The sequence below is a fragment of the Homo sapiens genome, chromosome 5 (genome assembly GCF_000001405.40).
Source record: "Homo sapiens chromosome 5, GRCh38.p14 Primary Assembly".
NCBI classification, from domain to species: domain Eukaryota; kingdom Metazoa; phylum Chordata; class Mammalia; order Primates; family Hominidae; genus Homo; species Homo sapiens.
The window spans coordinates 8,755,519-8,771,696 of NC_000005.10; the positions used below are offsets into that span (position 1 = coordinate 8,755,519).

At 40.8% G+C, this 16,178-nt stretch overlaps 1 long non-coding RNA gene across 2 annotated transcripts in view; it reads right to left on the minus strand.

The window, feature by feature from the left end:
- Window positions 1-885: 885 nt before the first annotated feature.
- LOC101929307 (uncharacterized) overlaps window positions 886-16,178 on the minus strand; it is an 88,088-nt gene continuing 72,795 nt past the window's right edge. For both annotated transcript variants that reach the window (XR_007058687.1, XR_925772.4), the window contains exon 3: window positions 886-2,732. This is a non-coding gene — a long non-coding RNA (uncharacterized LOC101929307). The remainder of the gene's footprint in view (window positions 2,733-16,178) is intronic.

A 16,178-nucleotide genomic window follows, 5' to 3' on the forward strand; every position in this document is an offset into this window, starting at 1 on the left:
ACTCTCACCTGTCATTCATAAGAGCAGGCATCATCCAGTCCCTGGAGGAATCCAGTAGATCAAAAAGGTGGAGAAAAGGCAAATTTACTCTCTCTTCTTCACCTGGGACACCCATCTTTTTCCCTCAGATATTGGCACTTCTGGGTTCTGGGCCTTCGGGTTTGGATTTGAACTACACCACTCACTTTCCTGAGCCCCCAGCTTGCAGGTTGCATACTATTGGGCTTCTCAGCCTCCATAATCATGTGAGCCTATTCTTCAAAGTAACTCTCTTCCTTTCTATCTGTCTATCTATCTACTTACCTACCTATCAATCTATGTATCTATCTATCTACTTACTGACCTACATATCAATCTAATGATCTATCAATCTATTAATCTATCTTTATCTATCAATCTATCATCTATCTACTTCCTACCCATCAATCTATTAATCTATGTATCTACTTATCTACCTACTTATCAATCTATTGATCTATCAATCTATTAATCTATCTCTGTCTGTCTATTGATCGATCTATCTACCTACCTATCTACATCCTATTGGTTCTGTTTCTCTGGAGAACTCTGACTGAGACATCATCAATGTCTAGTTGATTTTGTCTAATAAACAGCTTCCCTTCAGTTTTGGCTCCACTCTGTCTTCAATTTCTGGCCCAAGTTTCCCTAGGCCCCAACATAAAAGAATATTATTGACCCAATTGACCCACTGTGATAATTTGTTTAATATATTCAACAATTTGTTGAAATAATAAAAGTAATAACACTCACTGATCTACTGATTTGAACTGCTAACCTTACCAGACATGTGCCATGGCTTGTCTATCCTCCTAGATGTTGTGTAAAAGCATTTGAGAAAATAATGTATAAAAATCACACAGGAAATGTCATCAGCTATTTATTACTAAACTTTGTTCAGGTTAGATGTTTATCGTAGTTCACAATGCTGATTTGAACAAAAAGGCATCCAAGCCAATAGAATGAAATTTAATTTGTTAAAGTAAGATGCTTTATTCTTAAGTATTTATATTTAATATGCCCCATGGAATTTTGAACTTAAATTTGGTGATGGTAAAACATAAGTCACTTTAGATGTCAACATTTTCTGGAAGAAGAGTGCCAAGCATGATTGCCCATGTCACTTGGTGTTAGGTGACATTTTTGTTCCAGCAGGTGGTGCCATCAGAGCATGAAGGAAACTCCATTTTAAAAGGAACTTAGGCAGTGGGGACTCTTAGAGTCATCGGAGGCAAGAGAAAATGTCCCAGAGCTTCTGTGGGTCTGAAGGTTCATGTTTTAAATGTTCCTATTGTAGATTTTAAGAAAGTATGTAATTCAAAATTTTTTAACTTGTATTTTAAGTTAGGCATACATGCGCTGATTTGTTATATAGGTAAACTTGTGTCAGAGGGGTTTGTTGTACAGATTATTTCATTATCCAGGTTTTAAGCCTAGTACCCATTAGTCATTTTTCCTGATTCTCTCTCTTCTCCCACCTTCCACCCTCCAAAATACCCCAGTGTGTGTTGTTCCCCTCTATGTGTCCATGTGTTCTCATTATTTAGCTCCCACTTATACGTGAAAACATGCAGTTTTTGCTTTTCTGTTCCTGCATTAGTTCTCTAAGTATAATGGCCCCAGCTCCATCTATGTTCCTGCAAAGGATATGATCTCGTTCTTTTTTATGACTGCATAATACTCCATGGTATATGTACCACATTTTTTTAAATCCTGTCTATCACTGATGGGCATGTAGGTTGATTCCATGTCTTTGCTATTGTGAATAGTGCTGCAATGAACAGACACATACATGTGTCATGATTCCTTTGGGCATATGCCCAATAATGAAATTGTTGGGTGGAGCACAGACTTAGGGTCCTGAGACCCTTAAAGAGTAGGAGTCAAGTCAAAGAACTTTATTTTATGGTTGGTTGTGATAGAACTTCTTAATGTTGTAAAGTGTGGAAAAACAAACATTTTAAACAATGTTTTCCTTGTATATAGCCCAAGACAGGCTAAAAGCTTTCCTCATTTTGCATTCTGAACTGGAATGGAGGGACTGACTCTGGGAAGTCCTGTTACTTTTAATGGATTGAATGTTTGTGTCCCCCTGAAAATTCATATGTTGAACCTCAAGACAATGCCATTTGGAGGTAGAAAGCCTTTGGAAGGTGATTAAATTTAGATGAGGTGAGGGGGATGAGGCTTTTATAATATGAGTAATGCCCTTATAAGCAGAGGAAGGGACACCAGAGCTTCGTCTCTCCTCTATGTGAGGACACACCAAGAAGGTGGCCATCTGCAGGACAAGAAGTGGGCCCTCACCAGGATCAAATATGCTAGCACCTTGACCTTGGAATTCCCAGCCTCCCAGACCTTGAGAAACAAACGCCTGCTGATTAAGCTACCCATATATGATATTTTCTTACAGCATCTGCAGACAACTATGGCACTGTTACATCAACTCAACACATTCTAAATTTAATTCACAAGTTTGCAGCCATCTTAGCTCCCAGATCAACCTTCTGTTCACCAGCAATTTCCTACCCAAATGAACATATTCTCAGGTACCTACTCACCTCCTTTCTTGCCTTTCTTTTCTCTTCTTCTTCCTGTTCTGTAATTCATTGTTCCACGTTTGCCTTTTTTCCTCTCCCTTCCCTCCAGTATCTCTTCTTACTTTCTTTTTCTATATCAATTATATCATTATACACTTTGCCCTTCATTATATCCTGGAGGATAAAAAAATTTTACTCCAATTTGGTTTGAGATTCTCAAAACACACCTTTGGTGGGTAAGAAATACATAGTCCCTATTGTCCATATTAGGGTCTGAACATCAGGAAAATGTTGGCTGTTGATATGGTTTGGCTGTGTCGCTACCTAAATCTTACCTGGAATTGCAATAATCTCCATGTGTCAAGGGTGGGACTAGGTGAAGGTCACTGGATCATGGGGGCGGGTTCCCCTATGCTGTTCTCATGATAATGAGGGAGTCCCATGAGATCTTATAGTTTTATAAGCATCTGGTGTTTCCCCTGCTGGCATTCATTCTCTCTCCTGCAGTCCTGTGAAGAGGTGCCTTCACCATGATTGTAAGTTTCCTGAGGCCTCCCCAGCCATGAGAAACTGTGAGTCAATTAAACCTCTTTTCTTTATAAATTACCCAGTCTCCGGTATTTCTTCATAGCAGCGTGAGAACGGACTAATACAGTAAATTTGTACCACAGACAGTGAGGTGCTGCTATAAAGACACCTCAAAACGTGGTAGTGACTTTGGAACTGGATAATAGGCAGAGGTTGGAACAACTTGGAGGGCTCAGAAGAAGACAGAAAGATGTGGAAAAGTTTGGAACTTCCTACAGACTTGTTGAATGGCTTTGACCAAATATCTGATAGTGACATCAACAATGAAGTTCAGGCTAAGGTGGTCTCAGATGGAGATAATAACTTTTTGGGAACTGGAGTAAGGTCACTGTTGCTATGCAAAGAGACTGGCAGCATTTTGCCCCTGTCCTAGAGATCTTTGGAATTTTGAACTTGAGATGGATGACTTAGGGTACCTGGCAGAAAAATTTTCTAAGCGGCAAAGCATTCAAGAGGAAGCAGAACATACATTTTTGAAAAATCTGCAACAGCCTGACAATTCAATAGAAAGGAGAAACCCATTTTCTGGGGAGAAATTCAAGCCTGATACAAAAATTTGTGTAAGTAACAAAGAGTTAAATGTTAACCATCAAGGCATGTCTCCAGGACATGTCAGAGGTCTTCATGGAAGCCTCTCTGATATGGTTTGGCTGTGACCCCACCCAAATCTCATCATGAATTGTAGCTCCCATAATTCCCATGTGTTGTGGGTGGGACCCAGTGGGAGATAATTAAATCATGGTGGTGGTTTCCCCCATACTGTTTTCATGGTAGTGAATAAGTCTCATGAGTTCTGACGGTTTTATAAGGGGAAACCCCTTTCACTTGGCTCTCACTCTGTCTTTGCCTTCCACCATCCATGTAAGTAAGACATGACTTGCTCCTCCTTGCTTTCTGCCACGTTTGTGAGGCCTCCCCAGCCAGATGGAACTGTGAGTCTATTAAACCTCTTTTTCTGTATAAATTATCCAGTCTCAGGTTTGTCGTTATCAGGAGTGTGAGAACAGACTAATACAGTAAGTTGGTACCAGCAGTGGGATGCTGCTCTAAAGATACATGAAAAAGCGAAAGCGACTTTGGAACTGGGTAACAGGCAGATATTAGAATAGTTTTGAGGGCTCAGAAGAAGGTAGGAAAATGTGGAGAAGTTTGGAACTTCCTAGAGACTTGTCAAATGGCTTTGCCAAAATGCTGATAATGATATGGACAATGAAATCCAGGCTGAGGTGGTCTCAGATGGATATGAAGAACTTGTTGGGAACTGGAGTAAGGTGACTCTTGCTATGTTTTAACAAGAGATTGGCAGAATTTTGCCCCTGCCCTAGAGATCTGTGGAACTTTGAGCTTGAGAGAGATGATTTAGGGTATCTGGCAGAAGAAATGTCTCAGCTGCAAAGCATTCAAGAGTGCTGCTTGGGTGCTGCTAAAGGCATTCACTTTTCAAAGTGAAACAGAATAAGAGTTCACAAAATTTGCAACCTGATGTTGTGATAGAATAGGAAAACACATTTTCTGAGGAGAAATTGAAGCATGTTGCAGAAATTTGCATAAGTAACCAGGAGCCAAATATTAATTGCCAAGACAATGGGGAAAATGCCTCTAGGGCATGTCAGAGAACTTTGCAACAGCCCCTCCCATCACAGGCCCAGAGGCTTAGGAGAAAACAATGGTTTCCTGGCCAGGCCTAGGGCCCCCTTGCTGTGTGCATCCTAGGGACTTGGTGCCCTGCATCCCAGCTGCTCTAGACATGCTAAAAGGAGCCATGGTACAGTTTGGGCCATAGCTTCAGAAGATGCAAGCCACAAACCTTGACAGTTTCCACGTGGTTTTGAGCCTGTGGGTGCACAGAAGTCAGGAATTGTGGTTTGGGAACCTCCGCCTCAATTTCAGAAGGTGTATGAAACCACCTAGATATCCAGGCAGAAGTTTGCTGCAGGGGTGGGGAACTCATGGAGTACCTCTGCTAGAGAAGTGTGAAAGGAAAATGTGGGGTTGGAGACCCCACAGAGAATCCCTACTGGGGTAGTGGAGCTGTGAGAAGAGGGCCACCATCCTCCAGACCGCAGAATGGTAGATCCACCATCAGCTTGCATTGTGCACCTGGAAAAACTGCAGGCACTCAACACCAGCCCATGAAAGAAGCTGGAAGAAAGGCTGTACCCTGCAAAGCCACAGAGATGGAGCTGTCCAAGATCATGGGAGCCTATTTCTTGCATCAGCATGACCTGGACGTGAGACATGGATTCAAAAGAGATTATTTTGGAGCTTTAAGATTTTACTGCCCCACTGGATTTGGGACTTGCATGGGACTTCTGTCCCTTCATTTTGGCCAATTTCTCCCACTTGGATGGGTGTATTTACCCAATGCATATACCCCCATTGTTTCCAGGAAGTAACTAACTTACTTTTGATTTTACAGGCTCATAAACAGAAGGCTCTTGCCTTGTCTCAGATGAGACTTTGGACAATGGGCTTTTTGAGTTAATGCTGGAATGAGTTAAGAATTTGGGGGACTGTTGGCAAGACATGACTTGTTTTAAAATGTGAGGTATATGAGATTTCGGAGGGGCTAGGGGTAAAATGATATGGTTTGACTGTGTCCCCCCATCAAATCTCACCTTGAACTTTAGCTCCCATAATTCCCACATGTTGTGGGAGGGACCTGGTGGGAGATAACTAAATCATGGGAGTGGTTCTCTCATACTGTTCTCAAGGTAGTGAATAAGTCTCATGAGATCTGATGGTTTTATAAGGGGAAACCCCTTTCACTTGGCTCTCTGACTTTGCCTGCTACTATCCACATAAGACATGATTTGCTCCTCCTTTCCTTCCCACCATGATTGTGAAGCCTCTCCAGCCACGTAGAACTACGAGCCCATTAAACCTCTTTTTCTGTATAAATTACCCAGTCTTAGGTAAGTCATTATCAGGAGCATGTGAACAGATTAATACACCCTCCCATCACAGGCAAAGAGGCATAGGAGGTAAAAATTGTTTCATGGGCTGGGCCCAGGGCCTTGCTGCTTTGTGCAGTCTCAGCACTTGGTGCCCTGCATCCAAGCTGTGGCTAAAAGGGGAAAATGTACAGCTCAGGTCATTGCTTCAAAAAGTACAAGCCCCAAGCCTTGGTGGCTTACACATGGTGTTGGGCCTGTGGGTACACAGAAGTAAAGATTTGAGGTTGGAACCTCCACCTAGATTTCAGAGGATGTATGGAAATGCCTGGATGTTTGCTACAGGGGTGGGACCCTCATGGAGAACTTCTGCCAGGGCAGTGTGGAAGGGAGATGTGGGGTCAGAACCTCCACACAGGGCCCTCACTAGGGCACTGCCTAGTGGAGCTGTGAGAAGAGAGCCATCATGCTCCAGATCCCAGAATCATAGATCCACTGACAGCTTGCACTGTGCACCTGGAAAAGCTGAAGACACTTCAATGCCAGCCTGCAAATGCAGCCTGGAGTGTAGGTGTAATCTGCAAAGCCATAAGGGTGGGGCTATTCAAGGTCTTGGGAGCCCACCTCTTGCATCAATGTGAGCTGGATGTGAGACACGAAGTCAAATGAGATTATTTTGGAACTTTAAGGATTAATGACTGCCCTTTTGGATTTTGGACTTGCATGGGGCCTGTAGTCCCTTTGTTTTGACCAATTTCTCCCATTTTGAATGGGTAAATATACCCATTCAATGCCTGTATCCTCATTGTATCTAGGACATAATTAATTTGCTTTTGATTTAACAGGCTCATAGGGGAAAAGGACTTGCCTTGTCTCAGATGAGACTTTGGGCTTGGACTTTTGAGTTAATGCTGGAATGAGTTACGCCTCTGGGGTACTGTTACGAAGGCATGATTGGTGTTGGAAAGGCATAATTGTGTTTTGAAATGTGAGGACATGAGATTTGGAAGGGCCCAGGGGTGGTTTACCTCATGCTGTTCTCATGATAATGAGTGAGTCTCACAAGATCTGAGGGATTTATAAATGTATGGCATTTCCCCTGCTCGCACTCATTCTCTCTCCTAACACCCTGTGAAGAGGTGCTTTCACCATGATTGTAAGTTTCCTGAGGCCCCCCAGCCTTGCAGAACTGTGAGTCAGTTAAATCTCTTTGCTTTATGAATTACCCAGTCTCAGGTATTTCTTCATAGTGGCATGAGAGTGGACTAATACAGTCATAGAGTCAGATAGACCTTGGTTTGGGCCTGGCTCCACCACTTTCATGTGTGTGACCTGAGTCAAGCTTCTTCATTCCTATAGTCTCAGCTTCACCATCTGTGCAAAGAATGAAAATATCTCTTCTCTCTTAGCACAGCTTAGATAAATGAGGACATACATCTAATGCATCATGTCTGGCACATGCAAAGGTTAAATTAATGTAAAATGTCATTAGCAATTGATTAAAATATATTAAATTACAAAAACTAAAATAAATATATGCTCTTCACCTTTGTTGTTGTTTTGCTTTGTTTTGTTTTGTTTTATTGAGATAGGGTCTCACTCAGTCACCCCGGCTGGAGCGCAGTGGCGCAATCTCAGCTCACTGCAACCTCTGCCTCCCAGGTTCAAGCAATTCGGGTGTCTCAGCCTCCCAAGTAGCTTCTATTACAAGCATGCACCACCATGCCTGGCTAATTTTTATATTTTTAGTAGAGAAGGGGTTTTACCATGTTGGCCAGGCTGGTCTAGAACTCCCAGCCCCAGGTAATATACCCGCCTCGTCCTCCCAATGTGCTTACAAGCATGAGCCTCCATGCCTGTGCCTGCTCTTCATCTTATATAAAATTCAGGTTAATTAGAAAAATATCTATTCTTTGGTCTTATTACCTTAAATTAAGAAACCTCTGCTTTTTTTTTTAACTTTAAATTCTGGGATATATGTGCAGAATGTGCAGGTTTGTTACATAGGTATACGTGTGCCATGGTGGTTTGCTCAACCCATCATCTAGGTTTTAAGTCCCGCAGGCATTAGGTATTTCTCCTAATGCTCTCCCTTCCCTTGTGGCCCACCCCCTGACAGGCCCCGGTGTGTGATCTTCCCCTCCCTGTGTCCATGTGTTCTCATTGTTCAACTCCCACTTATGAGTAATAACACGTGGTGTTTGATTTTCTGTTCCTGTGTTAGTTTGCTGAGAATGATGGTTTCTAGCTTCATCCGTGTCCCTGCAAAGGACATGAACTCATTCTTTTTTATGGCTGCACAGTATTCCATGGTATATATGTGCCACATTTTCTTAATCCAGTCTATCACTGATGGTCATTTGGGTTGGTTCCAAGTCTTTGCTATTGTAAACAGTGCTGCAATAAACATACATGTGCATGTGTCTTTATGGTAGATTGATTTATAAGTCTTTGAGTATATACCCAGTAATGGGATTGCTGGGTCAAATGGTATTTCTGGTTCTAGATCCTTGAGGAATCACCACACTGTCTTCCACAATGGTTGAACTAATTTACACTCCCACCAACACTAGTTTTAAGGGAAAGTCCTATAGCAAAGTTTGCTTTTTGTATTTTTTGTTTGTTTTTCTTTGAGGTTTATTTATGACAGTTCAATTGTGCAGTCTCAGACTTCCAAAGGGCCTAGATACCTGAGGAGTTACGATGTTTGAAATTTGTACCAGTTCAGCATCAACGCTCAACCCTGTCTAAATAACAAATATGCAACAAGTTTTTCCTAAGTTTAGACATTCTACTCCTTTTGGTAAATATAAATAAGCATTCTTTGATGGGTGTATTTGAAAGGGCAATAAGAGAGTATATTAGTCTGTTCTCACACTGCTAATAAAGACAGACTCAAGACTGGGTAATTGATAAAGGAAAGAGGTTTAGTTTACTCACAGTTCAGCATGGCTGGGGAGGGTTCATAAAACTTACAATCATTGGGAAGAGGGAAGCAAACACGCCCATCCTCACCTGGTGGCATGGAGAAGAAAAATGAGTGCCCAGCAAAGGGGGAAACCCCTTATAAAACCATCAGATCTTGTGAGAACTCACTCACTATCACGACAACAGGATGAGGGAAACCACCCCCATGATTCAATTATCTCCACTTGCTGCCTCCCATGACTTGTGGGTTTATGGGAACTCCAATTCAAGATGAGATTTGGGTTGGGGCCACAGCCAAATCATATCAGAGAGCTAAGTATATGAGTGTTTTTGTGTCATTTAGGATATGGGAGACAGAAACCACTCAGTAATTTGAACGAGGAGGGCAATATATGCATATATATAGATATAGATATAGATATATACACACACACATTCATACACACACACACATACATATGTGTGTGTTTAGATAGATGATAGATATAAATTATATCTATATCTATAGATGTAGACATATTTATATATATTTATATCTATAGACAGATATAAATTATCTATCTATACACTTATCTATAGAAATTATCTATGCAATTATCTATCACATTGATAATTTCTATCTATCTATCTATCTGTCATCTATCTATCTATAGAGAGATTATTAAGAGGAGATGAAGCCAGGTTCAGTAACTAGCACCTATAATCCCTGCTGCCCTGCCCTGGAATGCTGAGGCAGAAGGATGGCTAGAGGCCAGGAGTTCAGCCTTAGCAATATGAGCCTGTATCAAAAAAAAAAAACTTTATTAGGTTAGCTGCATAGTCGTGGTACACGCTTCTGTGCCTGTAGTCCCAGCTGCTCACTACTCGGGGACGAGGCAGGAGGATCACTTGAGGAGTTTGAGGCTGCAGGTGAGCTATGATCACATCCCTGCACTCCGCCATGGGCAACAGAGTTAGACTCTGTCTCTAAAACAAACAAACAAAAGAGAGGAGGTGAAAAAAAACCGGAAAGGATACCTAGGCGTACCAAGAAGGGAGCAATCCTGGTCTGATGGGCACACCCCCACCAAGTTCCTCTGAGGCTGAGACTCTGTTGGAGAGGGGATGGTTTCAGCTCACTGGATGCCATGAAAGTAATGAAAGTGGCTGGATAGCCCCTAGTCGGAGCTGGCCCACAGTCCACTCCTGGCTGAGCCTGGTAGTGAGTACTCTGCAGGCCAGGAGGGGCCACAGCCTTGCTAGAGCGTGAGTATGGATGCAGATCTACAGACCTGTACTTAGTGACTTGAAGAGGTGAGCTGAAGAGCGAGAAATACTCAGGGGGCCAGGCCACATCACAGAATAAGACTATAAGGGCATATTTGGAGAGGAGACCATGACAAATTGACAGCTGGTACAACTGATTTCCCAACATCATCTCTGCTATGTTTTAACTCACACATTCCATTTTGTGTTTTCTGTTTTCCAAAACGCTTAAACCTGACAACTGGTGATGGACCTTAGCACTAAAAGACCAAGGATTAGTTCAACAAAAAGCCACATGCGACAACATGGCCAGTGTATTATCTTAGGAAGGAAGTTAGGATGCAGTGTGCAACTTCAATGAAAACTTGGTGATAACAATTCAGTTGCTCAACAACAGATGAGTGTTTAGTACATGTCAGGCTGTCGGGGAAAAATGAGCATCTTATTTCATATACAAACATTAAAGAACAGACTTTTTAAGAGCAATTAATATGTGTAAAATGAACACACACATAGGAATTTGGTTATAATTACAATGAAAAAATTTTTAAATTGCACTGGTAGAGTCAGTATTGTAAGGTAAATGTCTCTTCTCCGTTTCTCTCTCTCTTAGAAAGTTTTTCATAGTATGAATAATGTTTTAAATTATTTTTATAAATTCAAGATTGTAACACTCTACTTTCTTAAAACTAGATGATCATAAAACCGATAGTGCCACATATACTTAATATCACCATCCCATCCTGTTATGATTATGTCTGAACTCAGGTCATTCTTCACTGATAATGCCAAGCCATTATCTCTGTATAGTTATTGTCCCCTCCCTAGGAAGGGCAGGAAGAGAGATGGCTTTAACTTCACATGACAGGATTAATGCCACAGTTGTTGAGATAAGCTCACAACATAAGCCAGCAATTCTTTATCCAAACAAGAGTCCAGGTTGCAATCCTCCGAAAACACCCTGGAGGGTATTAACAGTTGCTGTAATCTATGTAATGAATTGGACTTTTATACTCCTTCAAAGAAAGGCTGCTTCCTAATTGGCAGCCTAGGAGGTTTTTTTTTTTTTTTGGATCCTGTACTTTGGAATAAATAAATTGCCAAAGTAGGAGTGAGGGGAGATGGAGGGAAGAGGGCCAGCAGGAGTGAGGGGAGGTTGTAGCCTCATTAATGGTGGGCCTAAGGCAGCCACTCGGCCGGCCATTCAGTCATTCCATTTGTGCTACCAGTCATTTGGGGAAAATGAGAAAAATCTGCATTTCAATAATTGCCCTTTTTTTAAGATATGATTAACTTTTAATGATAAATATAAAGCAAGTAAAATGTTATTTTGTTTAAAATGAAAAAAATTTGTTATATCATTCTCTTTCCCAGAATGATCCAAAAGAGCTATTTATTTATGCATTTATGTTGAAATAAAATGTCAGAAAACTCATATATATAAAGAGAGAAAATCCAGCACTTAATGATGCCTGAAAAATTCTGAATGATCATAGACCTGCCTATTAGTTTTAGTCACATGATAGAAGCTCAGGAAATGTGGAGTAATTGGCAGAATCTGCGGACTGAGACATGAACTGGAAATCAGATTCCACGGGTAATATTTTCTTTTTGCTAGGAGATTCCATAACACTCCAATTCCTGAATTGCAAGGAAGCTCTGGGGATATTTCAATGTCCTAGAGAGAATTATTTACATTTCCAATACAGTGCAGGTTAAAGGTCCTCAAAGAAAAATGGCATGCAATATCCTGGGCCCCAGGGGCCCTCGTGAGATGATGGGCAGAGTGAGGGATTGAAATAACTCAAGGCAAATGCCACCCTGTCCATAATGAAGGGCTCTTTTGGAAGATGAGTTGTGGGAGAGAAAATCATAAATAGGTTTTCAGATGTCAGTCAGGAAATAAGCTATTACTTTGTCTAAAGTGAAGGAGTTAGGGATAGTAGACCAGAATGTCCAATGTCTGAAATTCCATGTGAGTTCTGGGCATCAGGACAACCAAGCTGGGGGGGGTGGGACAAACCATCACTCCCAAAGGCAAATGGATCACAATGATTTTCCCTCCTTTTGAACTCAGAGTACAGCTAAGAGGGATAAATGGAAAATGCAGTTCAGTAGCCCCATCCCTGATGCTCCTGAAATGTTCAGACTTCTAGAGACAGTGGAAAGGTCCTGGGTCATGGGTGTGCCTGGTGGAGATTCGACTTCAAACAACATCTATGCCTGCCCTTGTGTGGAACTTGGCAACGTCTCATTTCCACTCTGTGAGAAACAGCAATGATCAGAACCTTTGCCAACTGCTGCTGTGAAGCGAAAATTAAGGGAATAAAGTGGGGATTTTGAAAATAAAACAGTCTTGGAGAACTTAAACTTTGCATGTATAATAGGGCTTACTTGCTATCATAAAAGGATATTTTTGAAATTCGAAAAGCTTTAATCCACTAATTCTGTGATGCTAACAAGAGGGTCTGGGTGCCAGGAGGGTAAAAGTTTCACTCTCATTAATTATTTGGTTCTCATTTTTGAGTAGTATTTCTTTAAGAAATGCAAACACAAAAAACTCATATGTGAACTTTGCAGACATGAGTAGATCAGAATTGGAAGATAACACGGAACCCTGCTTCAGACACAGGGATTTGAAACTTTGATGTGCTTTGATGTGCTATTTGCAATCTTCCTTTCATCACAGTTTGCGCTAAAGTGGTCATCTGTCTGTTAAAGCTTACACAAACTAGTTTCACATGTAGTCAGGGTTACCTTATGTTCCATAAAAATAAAATTTGAATTCTTATCAAGAACTTCTAAAAGCTACAGCTTATCTATTTCTGTGGGAACAAGGAATCTTCTCAGGAACAAGAATTCTACAAAATTCTGAATTTTTAATTTCCAAAATTATAATTTCTATAAAACCTTTATCATGTTGTATTTTTAGTTCATTTATCTTTATTTATTTATGTATATAAAGGACAACCTTTCCTTTTAAATTGATAATCTGTATTTGTCGTGAATACTTATAATTTTGTGTTGCCTCAGTATCCATTTTTAAATATGTTTGACTTTCTCATGCCAGAAGTAAGGCTCAGTCACGGTTGACAGTTTTTATACTATACCCCACACAAATGGCTGCAACCAGTGGTCAGAGATACAGTTTGGAGTCGTCTCTTCCACCTTGCAGACTGGGCTCCCCACTTTCCCAACACTGCCTTTAAACAGGCCATTGAGATACTTGTCTGCCAACTTAAAGGGACAACCTCTCAGTCACAGCATGGTCTCCTAGAACTAGTACCTGCTAGTTTTTAATCTACCACTTAAAGCTTTCCTAGGGAAACCTGTTTGTATTACACCCTTCACCCAACAAAAACCTTGCCCCAGTGGATCCCTACTTTCTCTCTGTGTTTGTGCTCCTTGACGTCCGTGTGTGTGGGGGTTGGGTGGGGAGGCATCCTTGCATTCTATGTAGCCTTCAGGGTCTGTAAGTACTAAAAATTCTTTAACTTTTACGTTGTGGTTGTGTCATTGAAGCAGTGCACACAATCAGATCTCTGATGGTGAGGCCACCCCAAAGGGACCCACACATGTGGACCCCCTGTTGGTGCCCTTCTGTTTGGGCTTCTCGGCCACTGGTGACAGTAATTACCAGTTAAGATGGTAGAATTTTATTTAAAACATTGTTGGAGGATGTTTACACTGAGTAAGTCTTTAGATTCTTCAGATAGTCTTTTACATATTGGTACTACACATGCTTGCCATTTTGTCTTAACTTTAAAAAAGTTCCCTTACTCGAGTTTGGGGAATTCTGCTCAACACATATCTATGTCACCCTTTGTTCCTAGAACTTTTGGATGTAACTCAGTAATAATAAGCAACTTGCCTATTTCTGGGTGTTCAGCATAACTGTCCTTGGTTTGACTGTTCTCCTGAATTTATATTGTTAATACTAAAATATAACAATAAAATCTATCTGGAGTTGGGAGAGTATCAATCTTTATACATTTAATGAAAAGGAAAATATTTTGGATTATCACTCTCTGCATTCATTTGTGTAAACAGAGGAAAGAACATATGACTAAAGTAGAATAAACTTGCCTGGAGGTGAAGTGAGTAAACATGTCTGCTGATTAGCTGGAAATCCATTTCAGCATTTGAAATAAACCAAACGTTGAAAGCCAATTGTCTATGTGTTTCTTGAGTTTCTGAAAGTCTTGTGAACAGAGATAATAATTGGCTTTATTCTAGATTGTCCTTTCCAGAATACTTCTATAGCGAAAAGTTTTGGAAGACAGTGACAGAGGGCAGACGTGCTTACTATGTTTCCCTTCAAGCAAAGAGTAGGCAGGCTTATGGCCTATTATAAAAGACCCAGGATCCCTAAGCTAGGAATTTCTCTTCTTCAATCAGCCTACAGGGTGTGCGGTGTCATCTAGGTCTCCTCATATTTCCCTGTGGCAAATGAAAAATGTAAGCTTTAAATCATTTAATATAAAAAATTAAAGAACCTAGAAATTCAGAAAGGGAAATATAGCTGTGGAATTCAGTTTATGAAAATTCAATGCATTCATACTCTATGATCCCAAAGAAAGGCCTGGAAACAACTGCAAGAATTTTCAGGAAGGCAATTTTCAGGTAAAGTTTTCAGGCATTTTGAGTTGACTGACACTGAATTGACTACTTCCTCAAGGAAATGTGTCCCTAGCCCTTCCAGCAGAGGCTTCATGACCATATGAAGAGACGGAATCTGTGCCTCTGGCATCGGCTAAATGAGCTCCGAGCAGCCTCCTTACATAATTTTTAAGTTCTGTGGCTGGAGGGCAAGGCTGTTGGGAATTTGGGAGATATGAGGCTCATACTGAGACAGGCTTCTCTGCACATTCCATATGAAAGCAAGTGCAGTCACTGAAAATGCTGTAAGGATTTGCAGTTGCCAGCATGCCAGCATTGTGTGTTTTCCTATCATATCTCCTTTCATGAATCATCAGTAATCATATTTGTTTCCTTTTCTTCTGGATAAATCATAAGAAATGTATTTATATTGAGAAGAAGATAATTCTTTAATAAAATGTCTTATATGCCCTTTATCTGGGGTTTACTTTTGAGGATTAAGCCAGTACAAAGTTTGGTGATGGTTACACAACTTTACACAATTATCTAAATTCGGAAATATACCCCATAAAAGTAAATTTTTCTGTTTGTTAGTAAAAACAACAACAAAGAAAGCTCAGTTCTAAAATTACTTTCATTTTTAATCATGTTGATTTAAAGACATTGTTCAGGCACAGTGGCTCACGCCTGTAATCCCAGCACTTTGGGAGGCCGTGGTGGATGGATCATCTGAGGTCAGGAGCTCCAGACCAGCCTGGCCAACATGGTGAAACCCCTTCTCTACCAAAAGTACAAAAACTAGCCGGGTGTGGTGGCACATGACTGTAGTCCCAGCTATGCAGGAGACTGAGGCAGGGGAATCACTTGAACCCAAGAGGCAGACCCTGCAGTGAGCCAAGATCAGGCCACTGCACTCCAGCCTGGGTGACACAGTGAGACTCCATCTCAAAAAACAAACAAACAAACAAAAAAGAAATTATTTTTACTTCCTGGAAATTCAACATTTTAACAGAGTGCCTTTCCAAGCCTGCTTTAGAAGGATCTTGACTTACACAGGATATTTTATTCATTTTGAGAGAAGACTACATCATATTCATCTTGGACTGAAAAGAATTTCAATTTTTAATTTTCAAGTAGTCATGAAATTAGCTTTATAAGGAAAGAAGTCACTTATTAAGTTGAAATATCATCCCGGGAGTTTGTAGAACTGCATTGTGTTTATTTGATCCTAGAATAACACCTGGTATTAGTCTTTACTTCCTAGAATCACTGTTAACTATGAAGACATTGGCATTGTTAAGTCTTGGTATTTACTTGATGCTTTGCAAAATGTCTCACATATATTGTTATCCTTCAACTCTCCAAC